Raw genomic sequence first — 16398 nt, 5'->3', positions numbered from 1 at the left:
TTGTCTGGTTTTCCTGCTACTGCCTTAGGTCCCTGAGTTGCCCCACTTAGGCTTATGGGACCTCCTCACTGTTGGTTGAGGCACATGTGTGGTGATCAATCCGAATCCACTCTGGTACCAGGCTCCTTCCCCCCATCCCAGGCAGGCTGACAGCGGTCATGTTTCTGCCTACAGCGCCTGCCTATCTCTTTTGAATGTCCTTCTCTACCCTACTCTGTACTTATGGTGCCAGGTTTCTCTTAAGAATGTCCCCTTTGTCCTTCTTATCAGCATGTAGCCAGCAATATTGTGACATTTTTACTGCAGAGTGAATGATGACTGGGGCATCTTAAATGGAGTTCTGGGGTGTTTCTTTCTGCATAGGTACCTCTGCAGTAGTAGTTTCCAAAATACTTTTGGTAATTTTTAACCTTAAAGTTAACCTTAAAGTTAAGCTAAGTAAAAGATTTGCATTAAATATCTAGACCATTTATAAATAAGATACAATACTAAAACATTACTGAAGATAAATAATTCAAGTTTACATACTTTTGGCTACTTATTTTTACAGAGAAACTAAAGATATTTTAGCCCATTAATAAACATGTTTTTGTCTACCACACTGAGAAATTGTACTATGAGGAAACACATCCCTCTAGATGTTGGGAGATGGTATACTCATACATTTTCTAACCTACTATAGAATGCTAACATATGACAGTTTATAACTGTCTACTTCCTAGTTTTCTCTGGAAAATAAAAGATTACTAAGTATTAAAATTATAATCAATATGTGTAAATAAAACTACTGGAAATAATAGAATAACTAGAAACAACTCTATGCAAAGCATGCAAGAAAAGTAGTGCATGTTTTGCAAGTAAAGTAGGACGTATTTTTTATAAGGAAAACCATACAAAAGATACAAATAAAAAGAGATACCTAGCCTTCCCTGTGTTATATTTGTATGGGTAAAATGTCATGTTTTCAGAAATTATATAAAATTCCTGGAAATTTGTCAATGTTCTCCTTATCCATGCTATGTGCCAGTATAGAGTTATGAGTCATAATTCCAATTATTATTTTAAATGTTGTGCTGGGTGCAGTGGCTCACGTCTGTAATCCCAGCACTTTGGGAGGCCTAGGCAGGTGGATCACAAGGTCAGGAGATCGAGAACATCCTGGCTGACATGGTGAAACCCCATCTCTACTAAAAATACAAAAAATTAGCCAGGCGTGGTGGTGGGCACCTGTACTCCCAGCTACTCAGGAGGCTGAGGCAGAAGAATGGCATGAACCAGGGAGGCAGAGCTTGCAGTGAGCCAAGATAGCGCCACTGCACTCCAGCATGGGCAACAGAGCGAGACTCTGTCTCTAAATAAATAAATAAATAAATAAATGTTGTATCCCACAGAAAAAATCGAATATCCTTGTCAGTTGTGGTATAATGAACTCTCATCAGATCTTTCATCACAGCCATTTCATATTCTTTATCATTTAGATATTATTTCCCCCTGATGCTTTCCTGAAAGCTCCTGCAATCAGCTACAGGTCAGAATGTTCATCTCCATCACGGGATTCCCTCTGAGACACACAGAAAAGAGTATGCAAGATAGTCTGGTTATAGGCTTCTGATGATATTGTTTAAATAACTTTAAGACCATACACTTCGCTCAGTGAAGATCTCCAGAAGTCTGCTTCAGAAATTGATGGGTTCATGACACTGCTAACCCAAGATGCAACAAGACTGGAATTGATTACATGGTACTGAATGAACTGATGAAAATTGATTATAATTTTATAGCTTTTTGGAGCATTGCTGGTTCTTTAATGTTCTAGTTTCTGGACTTAAGAAATCTCTTTCTCTTAACCTAACTGTAACATACAATTTAGTAGATTATACTTTTGAAAACAGAAGTGAAGCATTTATCTTTTTTCCCCTGCCTGATTTTTCCAGAATTTTGAAATCCTTACTGAACACTCTTATTTTCACGATGATATAGTTGTTAGCAAAAGTCCAATAAGAATCTGTTCACCTTGAACAGAGACCTCAGAAATAATGCCGCATATCTACAACCATCTGATCTTTGACAAACCTGACAAAAACAAGCAATGGGGAAAGGATTCCCTATTTAATAAATGGTGCTGGGAAAACTGGCTAGCCATATGTAGAAAGCTGAAACTGGATCCCTTCCTTACACATTATACAAAAATTAATTCAAGATGGATTAAAGACTTACATGTTAGACCTAAAACCATAAAAGCCCTAGAAGAAAACCTAGGCAATACCATTCAGGACATAGGCATGGGCAGGGACTTCATGTTTAAAACACCAAAAACAATGGCAACAAAAGCCAAAATGCACAAATGGGATCTAATTAAACTAAAGAGCTTCTGCACAGCAAAAAAAAACCTACTGTCAGAGTGAACAGGCAACCTACAAAATGGGAGAAAATTTTCACAACCTACTCATCTGACAAAGGGCTAATATCCAGAATCTACAATGAACACAAAGAAATTTACAAGAAAAAAACAAACAACCCCATCAAAAAGTGGGCGAAGGATGTGAACAGACACTTCTCAAAAGAAGACATTTATGCAGCCAAAAGACATGTGAAAGAATGCTCATCATCACTGGCCATCAGAGAAATGCAAATCAAAATCACAATGAGACACCATCTCACACCAGTGAGAATGGCGATCATTAAAAAGTCAGGAAACAACAGGTGCTGGAGAGGATGTGGAGAAATAGGAACACTTTTACACTGTTGGTGGGACTGTAAACTAGTTCAACCATTGTAGAAGATGGTGTGGCGATTCCTCAGGGATCTAGAACTAGAAATACCATTTGACCCAGCCATCCCATTACTTGGTATATACCCAAAGGAGTATAAATCATGCTGCTATAAAGACACATGCACACGTATGTTTATTGCGGCACTATTCACAATAGCAAAGACTTGGAACCAACCCAAATGTCCAACAATGATAGACTGGATTAAGAAAATGTGGCACATATACACCATGGAATACTATGCAGCCATAAAAAATGAAGAGTTCATGTCCTTTGTAGGGACATGGATGAAGCTGGAAACCATCATTCTCAGCAAACTATCACAAGGACAAAAAAACCAAACACTGCATGTTCTCACTCATAGGTGGGAATTGAACAATGAGAATACATGGACATGGGAAGGGGAACATCACACTCCAGGGACTGTTGTGGGGTGGGGGGGGAGGGGGGAGGGATAGCATTAGGAGATATACCTAATGCTAAATGACGAGTTAATGGGTACAGCACACCAACATGGCACATGTGCACATGTATACATATGTAACAAACCTGCACATTGTGCACATGTACCCTAAAACTTAAACTATAATAATAATAAAATAAAATAAATTTACCAAAATAATAATACCAATACCAATGTGCTCTAGTTTTGTCAGATCATGAATGCATCATGCATCCCAATAAAAGATTATTGAACATAAAAAAAATCTGTTTACCTTATAACAGGACATAATTGGAAATTTTTGTTATATTATCAAGGTTTTTACTGGAATATCATATTTAGGAAATGTACCTAAGATCACTTATGACCAGCAATTTTAAGGAAGTAAGGTTGACTTTTATGCAGACAGTGCTTACAAAGCACTCTGAGAAATGAGAAAATTCTTCTTCAAAAATTATAAAAAGTCACAATTTCTTACTATGAGATTGCTATCCACTATTTATATGTGTGTGTGTGTGTGTGTGTGTGTGTGTGTGTGTCTTCCAAGTCAGTTGTCCTAGCTTGCTCCAGCATGCCTGGACAGAACTAGACAAGCCCCAGCCCATAGTGCATGCCATTCCTTATTTGGAGATGCTTCCTTAACTATCCCTGGGCAACTTCCTGTTCTTTCTTTGTTCTATTCCCCTTACCTAATTAATAAAGTTTTAAACTAATAGCCAACTGGGTAAAGTGTAAAATGTGAGGTCTTATTCCAGCCAATGGAAACTGCACACAGCAGTAGGGTAGACACATAAGGTTATAAGTAACTCTGTCTCCTTTGTTCGGTGTGTTCTTCTGGCTGGACAGCTATTGAGTAGCACCCTTTCTGCAGAAAGTAAAGCTCACCTTGCTAAGAGATCATTTGTTCCCATGTTAATTCTTTTTTTTTTTTCCTTTTTTGGAACATCAAAAACTTCATTCCCAACAGCACTCTGAGAAAAGCCAGCCTGATACCTAGATTACAGGGTTCACAGCCTTACAGGTTAGTAAGGAAGGTCATTTCCTGGTAGGCCCAGGAATTTAGGGATATTTTGGGGGCCTCAAGAAGAGAGGAATTCACACAAAGCTATAAGGACTGCAGCTGAAATTTGATAGTATGTTCTTAGCTTGGCTTTTAGCCTGAATAAGGCCTTTAAAAGTCAAATCTGAGATTCTATATGAAAACTTCCAGCAAAGAAACTTGAAAGCACCTATGTGGTCATCGCCTGTTCTTGCTGCAATTACATAAATAATCAAGCAAAATCTAATAAAACAAGACTTATTTTTAAAACAAGAATAGTCTTACTTTGATTATGATAAAAAATGATGGTTACTACCAAGAGAAATTTTATATTTCAAAGGAAAACTATAACATGGCCGGGCATGGTGGCACATGCCTATAATTCCAGCACTTTGGGAGGCCAGGAGTTCAAGACCAGCCTGGGCAACATGGTAAAACCCTGTTTCTACCAAAAATACAAAAATTAGTTGGGTATGATGGCATGTGCCTGTAGTCCCAGCTAATCAGGAAGCTGAGGAGGGAAGATCGTTTGCACCCAGGAGGTAGAGGTTGCAGTGAGCTGAGATTGCACCTTTGCACTCCAGCCTGGGTGACAGAGCCAGACCCTGTCTCAAAAAAAATGTTTTTAAAGGAAAACTACAGCCTTTGTGGGTTATCAGATTCTAGTCTTGTTTCTTGTTTCTGGGCTGTTTTTACCTCTTTGTAAACTAGATCCTGCCATCTGATGAATTCTGTCCCACAATGATACTTGGGGAGCAAGAAGCCAATTATTGTCTCTCCTACTAATGTATCTATTGTCAGTTAATTTGATGGTCACCAACCCTGGAACAAAGTTAGAAGAGGAAGGTTTTGCTCCCCAAAATGCATAACCAAATTGTGGTACATTCATGCAATGGAATGCTACTTAGCCATAGAAAGGAACAAGCTATCAACTCACACAAAGACATGAGCGACTCTTGCATGCACATTGCTAAGTGGAAGAAGACAGTGTGAGGAGCATACACACAGTGTGACCTCATTTAATGAGACACTGGAGAAGGCAAACTACACAGATGGGAAGCCATTGGCTCCATGGGGTGGGGGTTAGAAGCATTCCATATTATACTTATTAGTGGGATACCTGCCACAATGCATTTGTCAAAATATGCAGAATTTTACAGCCAAATGGTTAAAGAAAACTCTATTCAAATTAAATAAAATTACTCAGGATGTGGAGTATCTCAGGACAGAATACATCATGTGAAAAAGAATTTAACTATGCTACAAATTACTATCTTTTGGATGTGGCTTGTCCCCGCAAAAACTCATATTGAAATTTGACCCCCACTGTGTCAGTGTGGGGCGATGGGGCCTAGGGGAAGATGTTTGGGTCATGGTGATGGATCTCTCATGAATAGATTAATGTACTCCGATGGGGGTGAATGAGTTCTGCTCTCACAGGAATGGATTAATTCCTGCAGGAGTAGGTAGTTAAAAAGAGTCTGGCTTCCTTGGCTTCCCTCTTGCTTTCACTTTTGCTATGTGATCTCTGGTGCACCCCTTGCTCCCCTTCCACTTTCCACCATGAGGTGAAAAAGACTGAAGCCCCCCAGATGCAAGTGCCCAATCTCAGACATTCCAGCCACAAATATTGTGGGCCAAATGAACCTTTTTTACTTATAAATTACCCAGCCTCAGGTATTCTGTTACAGAAGCACGAAATGGACTAAGACACAAATGGAGGTAAAAACTCACTGAAGGTGTAGGGAAAATGATGTTGACCTAAGTCACTTTGAAAATGAATAGAATCTGTAGGCCGAAGGCAAATGAACTATACTTCATCATTGGATTCCATTTTATAAAGTTCTTTCCAGCAGAAGCAATTGTTAACAGTTGTAAAACCACAGTATCTGTATCTGGAATAAAACAATGACTTACATAAGTTGCAGATGGTAGGAACCAGATCTCTCACTGGTGAAGTGGGAGGTTACAAATTAGCAAGGTGAGAAGGCTAGAATGATTCATGTGATAGTAGATCAGAGGTGGAGACATCAACGTTATAGGAAAAGAAAGAGAGATCAGACTGTTACTGTGTCCATGTAGAAAGGGAAGACATAAGAAATTCCATTTTGATCTGTACCTTGAAAAATTTCTTTGCTGAGATGCTGTTAATTTGTAACTTTGCCCCAGCCACTTTGCCCCAACTTTGAGCTCACAAAAACATGTGTTATATGGAATCAAGGTTTAAGGGATCTAGGGCTGTGCAGGATGTGCCTTGTTAACAAAATATTTACAAGCAGTATGCTTGGTAAAACTCATTGCCATTCTCTAGTCTCAATAAACCAGGGGCACAATGCACTGCAAAAAGCCACAGGGACCTCTGCCCTGGAAAGCCGGGTATTGTCCAAGGTTTGTCCCCATGTGATAGTCTGAAATGTGGCCTCATGGGATAAGAAAGACTTGACCATCCCCCAGCCTGACACCCATAAAGGGTCTGTGCTGAGGTGGATTAGTAAAAGAGGAAAGCCTCTTGCAGTTGAGATAGAGGAAGGCCACCATTTCCTGCCTGCCCCTGGGAACTTGATGTCTCGGTATAAAACCCGATTGTACACCTGTTCAATTCTGAGATAGGAGGAAAACCACCCTATGGTGGGAGGTGAGACATGTTGGCAGCAATGCTGTCTAGTTATTCTTTACTCCACTGAAATGTTTGGGTGGACAGTAACATAAATCTGGCCTACATGCACATCCAGGCATAGTACCTACCCTTGAACTTAATTATGACATAGATTCTTTTGCTCACATGTTTTTTTGCTGACCTCCTCCTTATTATCACCCTGCTCTCCTACAGCATTCCTCTTGCTGAGATAATGAAAATAATAATCAATAAAAACTGAGGGAACTCAGAGACCGGTGCTGGTGCATGTCCTTGGTATGCTGAGAGCCAGTCCCCTGGCCCCACTTTTCTTTCTCTATACTTTGTCTCTGAGTCTTATTTTTTTTCTCAGTCTCTCATCCCATCTGACGAGATATACCCACAGGTGTGGAGGAGCAGGCCACCCCTTCATCTGCCACCCAATGTGGGTGCCTTTCTCTAGGATGAAGGTATGCTAAGAATGTGAGCATTGAGGACAGTCGAGAGATTCCTGAGTACATCCACCATCAGCCTTGCGGTAAGCTTGTGCGCTCAGAGAAACCCAGGGTAACAATGGGGCAAACTGAAAGTAAATATGCCTCTTATCTCAGCTTCATCAAAATTCTCTTAAGAAGAGGGGGAGTTAAAGCTTCTACAGAAAATCTAATTACACTATTTCAAACAATAGAACGATTCTGCCCATGGTTTCCAGAACAGGGAACTTTAGATTTAAAAGACTGGGAAAAATTGGCAAAGAATTAAGCAAGTAGGGAAGGTAAAACCATCCCACTTACAGTATGGAATGATTGGGCCATTATTTTTTATTTATTTATTTATTTATTTATTTATTTATTTATTTATTTATTTTGAGACAGAGTCTCGCTCTGTCGCCCAGGCTGGAGTGTAGTGGCGCGATCTCAGCTCACTGCAAGCTCTGCCTCCTGGGCTCACGCCATTCTCCTGCCTCAGCCTCCCGAGTAGCTGGGACTACAGGCGCCCGCTGCGATGCTGGGCCATTGTTAAAGCAACTTTAGAATGGTTTCAAGTAGAAGAAGACAGCATTTCAGTTTCTGCTGCCTCTGAAAGCTGTGTAATAGATTGTGAAGAGGCGGGGACAAAATCTAGGAAATGAATGGAAAGTTCATATTGTAAATATGTAGCAGAGCCGGTAATGGCTCGGTCAATGCAAAATGTTGACTACAATCAATTACAGGAGGTAATATATCCTGAAACATTAAAATTAAAAGGAAAAAGTCCAGAACCATCGGGGCCATTGGGGCTAAAAGCATGATGGCCACCTCCTCCTCAGCCCAGTGACTTCTGGGGGAGGGAGCCTGAAACTAGGCTTGCTGCGACTTGGCTCGAGGCACTCATTATTGTCCAACCTACAGTTCACTGTGGTGAAGGAGCAATTCAGACTCACCCTGCAGCTTCCTGTATAGGTCAAACAGTGGCCGCTCCCTAAGGAAAAGTTGGGGGTGCTACATAAAATAGTTAAAAAGCTATTTTATAAAGGACATGTTTCACCCACTTTCTGTCTTTAGAATTCTCCTGTTTTTGTAATTCAGAAAAAATCAGGCAGATGGCGCATGCTAACTGACTTAAGAGCCATTAATGCAGTAATTCAACCTATGAGGCCTCTCCAACCCGTGTTGCCCTCTCCAGCCACGATCTCCTTTAATTATAATTGATCTGAAGGATTGCTTTTTTACCATTTCTCTGGCAAAACAGGATTTTGAAAAATTTGCTTTTACTATACCAGCCATAAATAATAAAGAACCAGCCACCAGATTTCAGTGGAAAGTGTTGCCTCAGGGAATGCTTAATAGTCCAATTATTTGTCAGACTTTTGTAGCTCAAGTTCTTCAACCAGTTAGAGACAAGTTTTCAGACTGTTATGTCATTCATTATGTTGATATTTTGTGTGCTGCAGAAACAAGAGGCAAATTAATTGACTGTTACACATTTCTGCAGAGGTTGCAAACGCAGATTCAGACCTCTACTCCTTTTCATTATTTGGGAATGCAAGTAGAGGAAAGAAAAATTAAACCACAACAAATAGAAATAAGAAAAGACACATTAAGAACATTAAATGACTTTCAAAAATTGCTAGGAGATATTAATTGGATTCGGCCAACTCTAGGCATCCCTACTTATGCCATGTCGAATTTGTTCTCTATCTTGAGAGGGTATCCAGACTTGAATAGTAAAAGAACATTAACTCCAGAGGCAGCTAAGGAAATTGAATTAGTTGAAGAAAAAATTCCGTCAGCACAAGTAAATAGAATAGATCACTTAGCCCCACTCCAACTTTTGATTTTTGCTACTGTACATTCTCCAACAGGCATTATTGTTCAAAATACAGATCTTGTGGAGTGGTCATTCTTTCCTCACAGTACAATTAAGACTTTTACATTGTACTTAGATCAAATGGCTACATTAATTGGTCAGGGAAGACTACGAATAGTAAAATTGTGTGGAAGTGACCCAGATAAAATCATTGTTCCTTTAAACAAGGAACAGGTTAGACAAGCCTTTATCAATTCTGCTGCATGGCAGATTGGTCTTGCTGCTTTTGTGGGAATTGTTGATCATCATTACCCAAGAACAAAAATCTTCCAGTTTTCAAAATTGACTACTTGGATTTTACCTAAAATTACCAGACATAAACCTTTAGAAAATGCTCTGATGGTGTTTACTGATGGTTCCAGCAATGGAAAAATGGCTTACCCCAGGCCAAAAGAATGAATCATTGAAACTCAATATCACTCAGCTCAAAGAGCAGAATTGGTTGCTGTTATTTCAGTGTTACAAGATTTTAATCAGCCTATTAACATTGTTTCAGATTCTGCATATGTAGTACAGGCTACAAAGGATGTTGAGACAGCCCTAATCAAATGTAGTATGGATGATCAGTTGAATCAGCTGTTTAATTTTTTACAATAAACTGTAAGAAAAAGAAATTTCCCATTTTATATTACTCATATTCAAGCACATACTAATTTACCAGGGCCTTAACTAAGGGAAATGAACAAGCTGACTTGCTAGTATCATCTGCCTTCATGGAAGCACAAGAACGTCATGCTCTGACTCATGTAAATGCAACAGGATTAAAAAATAAATTTGATATCACATGGAAACAGGCAAAAAATATTGTACAACATTGTACTGAGTGTCAAGTCCTACACCTGCCCACTCAGGAGGCAGGACTTAATCCCAGAGGTTTATGTCCTAATGCATTATGGCAAATGGATGTCACACATGTACCTTCATTTGGAAAATTGTCATTTGTCCATGTGATGGTTGATACTTGTTCACATTTCATATGGGCAACCTGCTAGACAGAAAATGTACTTCCCATGTTAAAAGACATTTATTATCTTGTTTTGCTGTCATGGGAGTTCCAGAAAAAATTAAAACAGATAATGGACCAGGCTACTATAGTAAAGCATTCCAAAAATTCTTAAATCAGTGGAAAATTACACATACAACAGGAATCCCTTATAATTCCCAAGGACAGGCCATAATTGAAAGAAATAATAGGACACTCAAAGCTCAATTTGTTAAACAAAAAAGGAAAAAGAGAGTAAGGAGTATAACACTCCCCAGATGCAACTTAATCTAGCACTCTATACTTTAATTTTTTTAAACATTTATAGAAATAAGACCACTACTTCTGCAGAACAACATTTTACTGGTAAAAAGAACAGCCCACATGAGGGAAAACTGATTTGGTGGAAAGATCAAAAATAAGACATGAGAAATAGGTAAGGTGATAACATGTGGGAGAGGTTTTGCTTGTGTTTCACCAGGAGAAAATCAGCTTCCTGTTTGGATACCCACTAGACATTTGAAATTCTACAATGAACCCATCAGAGATGCAAAGAAAAGTGCCTCCGTGGAGATGGAAAACCCGCAATGGAGCACCATCGACTCGCCAGGTGAACAAAATGGTGATATCAGAAGAACAGATGAAGTTGCCATCCACCAAGAAAGTGGAGCTGCTGACCTGGGCCCAGCTAAAGAAGCTGACACAGTTAGCTGAAAAAAAGCCTGAAGAATACAAGGTTAACACAAACTCCAGAGAATATGCTGCTTGCAGCTTTAATGATTGTACCAACGGTGGTAAGTCTCCCTATGTCTGCAGGAGCAGCTGCAGCTAATTATACTTACTTGGCCTATGTGCCTTTCCCACCCTTAATTCGGACAGTCACTTGGATAGATAATCCTATTGAAGTATATGTTAATAATAGTGCATGGGTACCAGGCCCCACAGATGACCGTGGCCCTGCCCAACCTGAAGAAGAAGGAATGATGATAAACATTTCCATTGGGTATCATTATCCTCCTATTTGCCTGGGGAAAGCACCAGGATGCTTAATACCTACAACCCAAAATTGGTTGGTAGAAGTACCTACTGTCAGTGCCATCAGCAGATTTACTTATCACATGGTAAGTGGAATGTCACTCAGGCCACAGATAAATAATTTACAGGATTTTTCTTATCAAAGATCATTACAATCTAGGCCTAAGGGGAAGCCTTGCCCCAAGGAAATTCCCAAAGAATCAAAAAGCCCAGAAGTCCTAGTTTGGGAAGAATGTGTGGCTGATACTGCAGTGGTACTACAAAACAATGAATTTGGAACTATTATAAACTGGGCTCCTTGAGGCCAATTATATCATAGTTGTGCAGGCCAGACTCAACCATGTTGACAGGTCCCATCCATCTGGCCCATTAATCTGGCCTATGAAAGGCTGGACCAGGTTTATAGTAGGTTAGAATCACTCTATCCATGGAAATGGGGTGTGTAAAACCCCCTTATATGCTAGTTGTAGGAAACAGAGTTATTAAACCAGATTCCCAAACTATAACCTGTGAAAATTGTAGATTGTTTACTTGCATTGATTCAACTTTGGATTGGCAACACTGTATTCTGCTAGTGAGGGCAAGAGAGGGCGTGGGGATCCCTGTGTCCATGGACCAACAGTGGGAGGGTTCCCCATCCATCCATATTTTAACAGAAGTATTAAAAGGAGTTCTAACTAGATCCAAAAGATTCATTTTTACTTTGATTGCAGTGATTATGGGTCTTATCACAGCTACTGCTGCGGCTGCTGGAATTGCTTTACACTCCTCTGTTCAAACTGCAGAATATGTGAATAATTGGCAAAAGAATTCCTCAAAATTGTGGAATTCTCATACCCAAATAGATCAAAAATTGGCAAACCAAATTAATGATCTTAGACAAACTGTAATTTGGATTGGAGATAGGCTCATGAGCTTGGAATACCTTTTTCAGTTACAGTGTGACTGGAATACATCAGATTTTTGTATTACACCTCGAGCTTATAATGAATCTGAACATCACTAGGACATGGTGAGATGCCATCTACAAGGAAGAGAAGATAATCTTACCTTAGAGATTTCAAAATTAAAAGAACAAATTTTTGAGGCATCAAAAGCCCAGTTAAATCTGGTACCAGAAACTGAGGCAATCATGAAAGCTGTTGATAGCCTCACAAATCTTAACCCTGCCACTTGGGTTGAAAACATTGGAAGTTCCACCATTGAAATTTTTGTATTAATCCTTGTATGTCCGTTCTCTCTGTTGTTAGTCTACAGGTGTATCCAGCAGCTCTGGAGAGACAGTGACCAGTGAGAATGGACCATGATGACCATGGCAGTTTTGTCAAAAAGAAAAGGGGGATATGTAGGGAAAAGAGAGATCAGACTGTTACTGTGTCTATGTAGAAAGGGAAGACATAAGAAATTCCATTTTGATCTGTACCTTGAAAAATTGTTTTGCTGAGATGCTGTTAATTTGTAACTTTGCCCCAGCCACTTTGCCCCAACTTTGAGCTCACAAAAACATGTGTTATATGGAATCAAGGTTTAAGAGATCTAGGGCTGGGCAGGATGTGCCTTGCTAACAAAATATTTACAAGCAGTATGCTTGGTAAAACTCATTGCCATTCTCTAGTCTCAATAAACCAGGGGCACAATGCACTGCAAAAAGCCACAGGGACCTCTGCCCTGGAAAGCCGGGTATTGTCCAAGGTTTGTCCCCATGTGATAGTCTGAAATGTGGCCACATGGGATGAGAAAGACCGGACTGTCCCCCAGCCTGACACCTGTAAAGGGTCTGTGCTGAGGTGGATTAGTAAAAGAGGAAAGCCACTTGCAGTTGAGATAGAGGAAGGCCACTGTTTCCTGCCTGCCCCTGGGAACTTAATGTCTCGGTATAAAACCCGATTGTACATATGTTCAATTCTGAGATAGGAGGAAAACTGCCCTATGGTGGGAGGCGAGACATGTTGGCAGCAATGCTGCCTCGTTATTCTTTACTCCACTGAGATGTTTGGGTGGGAAGAAACATAAATCTGGCCCACGTGTACATCCAGGCATAGTACCTCCCCTTGAACTTAATTATGATATAGATTCTTTTGCTCACGTGTTTTTTTGCTGACCTTCTCCTTATTATCACCCTGCTCTCCTACTGCATTCCTCTTGCTGAGATAATGAAAATAATAATCAATAAAAACTGAGGGAACTCAGAGACCGGTGCTGGTGCAGGTCCTTGGTATGCTGAGTGCAGGTCCCCTGGGCCCACTATTCTTTCTCTATAGTTTGTCTTGTATCTTATTTCTTTTCTCAGTCTCTCATCCCACCTGATGAGATATACCCACAGATGTGGAGGGCCAGGCCACCCCTTCAAACATAAACTTATGTTTAGTTTAATATAGATACACACAGTTCTACATAGAAAACTTTATAATCAGGTGTGTATAGGTAGGTTAGACACACACATATACTTCCTAGCATTGCTAATGAGGGACAAGATACAATGTGCTAATTCAACAGCCAGATGTAAGTTTTCCTACCATTCTGAAAGGAATCAGGCTCTTTGAAGAAATGTCTGATACTAGAACTGGGACAGTAAATATAGGAGCCAGGATAATCTTGAAGTATCAGAAAGTAAGTACTAAAAAAAATTAAAATATATCAAAGAAAAATAAGAGCCAATAATAACAGCTACCGAAGGCCAACACAGGAATGAATTGTGCAACACAATGCTGCAGTGTTGAATAATAACTGAAGCTTAAAGTAATTATCTAGGTGTCTGTATTTGTATACATAGGTGAATAAGCTAATGGAGTTGCATAGAAATCTCCTTTGCAAAAGAATTCCAAATAATTGATGTAGACACTCAGCCATCAGGAAGGTGGAGCCAACTCCTCACTCCATGAGTGTGGGCTCTGCATAGTGACTTGCTCCAAAAGAACACATGCAGTATGGACAAGGAGGAAAAATAACTTCACAGTGGAGAAACCTGACAAACAGTAGCTCTGCCAAATGATCCAAGTGAACATCAAAAATGACAGTTTACCTTGAGAACATGAAGTGAAAATGGGGGACATTCTACAAAATTCCTGACCAATCCTCCTCAGTACTGTCAAGGTCATCATGAGATGGAAAGCCTGACACACTGTCACAGCCAGGAAGAGCCTATGTGATGACTACATGTCGTGCGGGATCCTGGATGGGATCCTGGGTCAGAGTAAGACAGACCTAAGGGAGTCCAAATGAAATGTGAACTTTAGTTAATAATAGTCTATCAGTATTGGTTCATTAACTGTGACAAATTATGTAAGATATTAATAAGCCATGTGAGACACACTGATAGAAGATGTTAATGAGAGGAAACTAGGTTGTGGCTACATGGGAAATCTCTGCTTTTTTTTTTTTTTTTTGGTAATTTCTGTGTAAGTAAAAAAAAAAGATGTAAAATAAAACTTTATTTAAAACCTTTTTATATTTTTTAATGCTTCCTTGCTTAATTATTTATACCGTGAATTACTAGTAATTGACACTGTTAACTAGTCCTGTTTTTTTAAATAAGAGCATTTATGACACAAAAAATTAAACAGTGCAGACTGATATATAAATCAAAACAAACGCTCTGTATATGTTTTCTGTTACAGTAGTAACACATATGTGTAAACTTAATTATCGTATTTTTGTCTTGTGCTATGGTTGTGTCCTGGTTCATTCTCTAAAATGCTGATCACCTTAGACCAGGAAAAAAAATAAACTTACAGGATCTGTTTCAATTCATGGCTAAATATTTTCAAAAGAGTGACTGTAAAAATATGTTCCAATGGCAAATTGATTCATTGTGATGGGATCACTTATTCTAAAGACTTCTTGTCTTTACTTTGTTCCCATGCCTACCTTTTAGCCATAATACAACAGAATCAAATATTGGCCATTGGGAAAAAATATTCAAAGAAAGAAAGAATGTGAACAGAACTTACAACCATGATGATTCAATGTTTTACCACAATGCTTTCTAAAAATAAGAGTGTAAAAGGATATTCAAAGTCAATTTCCTCAGCGAGGCTTTGCAGAAAATGAGGAAACTAAAGAAACAAAAATGGCAGGACGTTCTACGGGTGATTTTAGATGTTGCTATGTTTTATGGGAAAAAAATACTTTACCTTTTAAAGAATCACTAAGAATTATTGGAAACCCAAACTCTGGAATGTTTGCAAATTTAGTTGAGCTTCTGTGTAATTATGTCTATGTAGCTAGGCATGAAGTTGATGATTTTTTAAAAATCTTTGCCTTATTTGTGTAATAAAATACACAATAAATAATTAATGCTCATAGGAAAACATGTTAGACCTTGTGAAGGGAAAATAAATCTTGGGGACCCAAAATCGCTAAGCTAAAGGGAAAAGTCAAGCTGGGAACTGCTTAGGGCAAATCTGCCTCCCATTCTATCCAAAGTCACCCATCTGCTCACCGAGACAAATGCATATCTGATTGCCTCATTTGGAGAGGGTAATCAGCAAAGCAAAAGAATGAAACCATTTGTCTCTTACCTACTTATGACCTGGAAGCCCCCTGTCTGGCCTTCTCACCTTTCTGGACTGAACCAATGTACATCTTGCACATATTGATTGATGTCTCATGTCTCCCTAAAGTGTATAAAACCAAGCTGTGCCTCGACCACCTTGGGCCCATGTTGTCAGGACTTCCTGAGGAGGCATCATGGGGGCGCATCCTCAAACTTGGCAAGTAAACTTTCTAAAAAATCCGAGAGCTGTTTCAGATTTTCAGGGTTCATACATGTAATATAGTATGTCAATGTTTATAAAACAGACATTATTCTGTCTACTATTACAACTATGCTGCCAATTAACCTTAGACTTTCTCAACAAAATAAAAAATGATGAGGTACCAACAATATATTTAAACTTAAATAATGTTGCAAGTTTTAATATGCCTACTTTTCAATTTTTCAATACTATTTTTACTACTTTAACACTGTAAGAAAAATGAGCAACTAAAACATGAATAAAAGTGTTTACAGGGGGTGCACATGTTTCCTCCAGCCTCTGCCCATCCCCAGCTTTCATCCCAACTCTTCTGATGGTGGCTCTAAGCATTTCCCCTGTCTCTATACCAAGATCTCTCCCCAGAAACAAGCCCAAATCTTACCATATGTTATGGCACGCTATGGTGATG

At 39.3% G+C, this 16398-nt stretch overlaps 1 long non-coding RNA gene across 1 annotated transcript, besides 1 other annotated feature; it reads left to right on the top strand.

Moving 5' to 3' along the window:
- The first annotated feature begins 7090 nt into the window (after positions 1-7090).
- Positions 7091-14594, top strand: LOC107986338 (uncharacterized). The gene is made up of 3 exons (XR_001741971.3): positions 7091-7404; positions 10713-10991; positions 12483-14594. It is a non-coding gene; the product is annotated as an uncharacterized LOC107986338 (long non-coding RNA).
- Positions 10803-11341: an enhancer, noted in NCBI's record as "OCT4-NANOG hESC enhancer chr4:191029654-191030192 (GRCh37/hg19 assembly coordinates)". NCBI's record gives its function as "activates a minimal SCP1, AML or CMV promoter by ChIP-STARR-seq in naive H9 embryonic stem cells {active_cell/tissue: H9 hESC(naive)}" and the evidence as "EXISTENCE:reporter gene assay evidence [ECO:0000049][PMID:30033119]".
- Positions 14595-16398: the final 1804 nt, after the last annotated feature.

Source organism: Homo sapiens, chromosome 4, assembly GCF_000001405.40.
Source record: "Homo sapiens chromosome 4, GRCh38.p14 Primary Assembly".
Lineage (NCBI taxonomy): Eukaryota > Metazoa > Chordata > Mammalia > Primates > Hominidae > Homo > Homo sapiens.
This window is presented reverse-complemented; position numbering and strand designations above follow the sequence as displayed.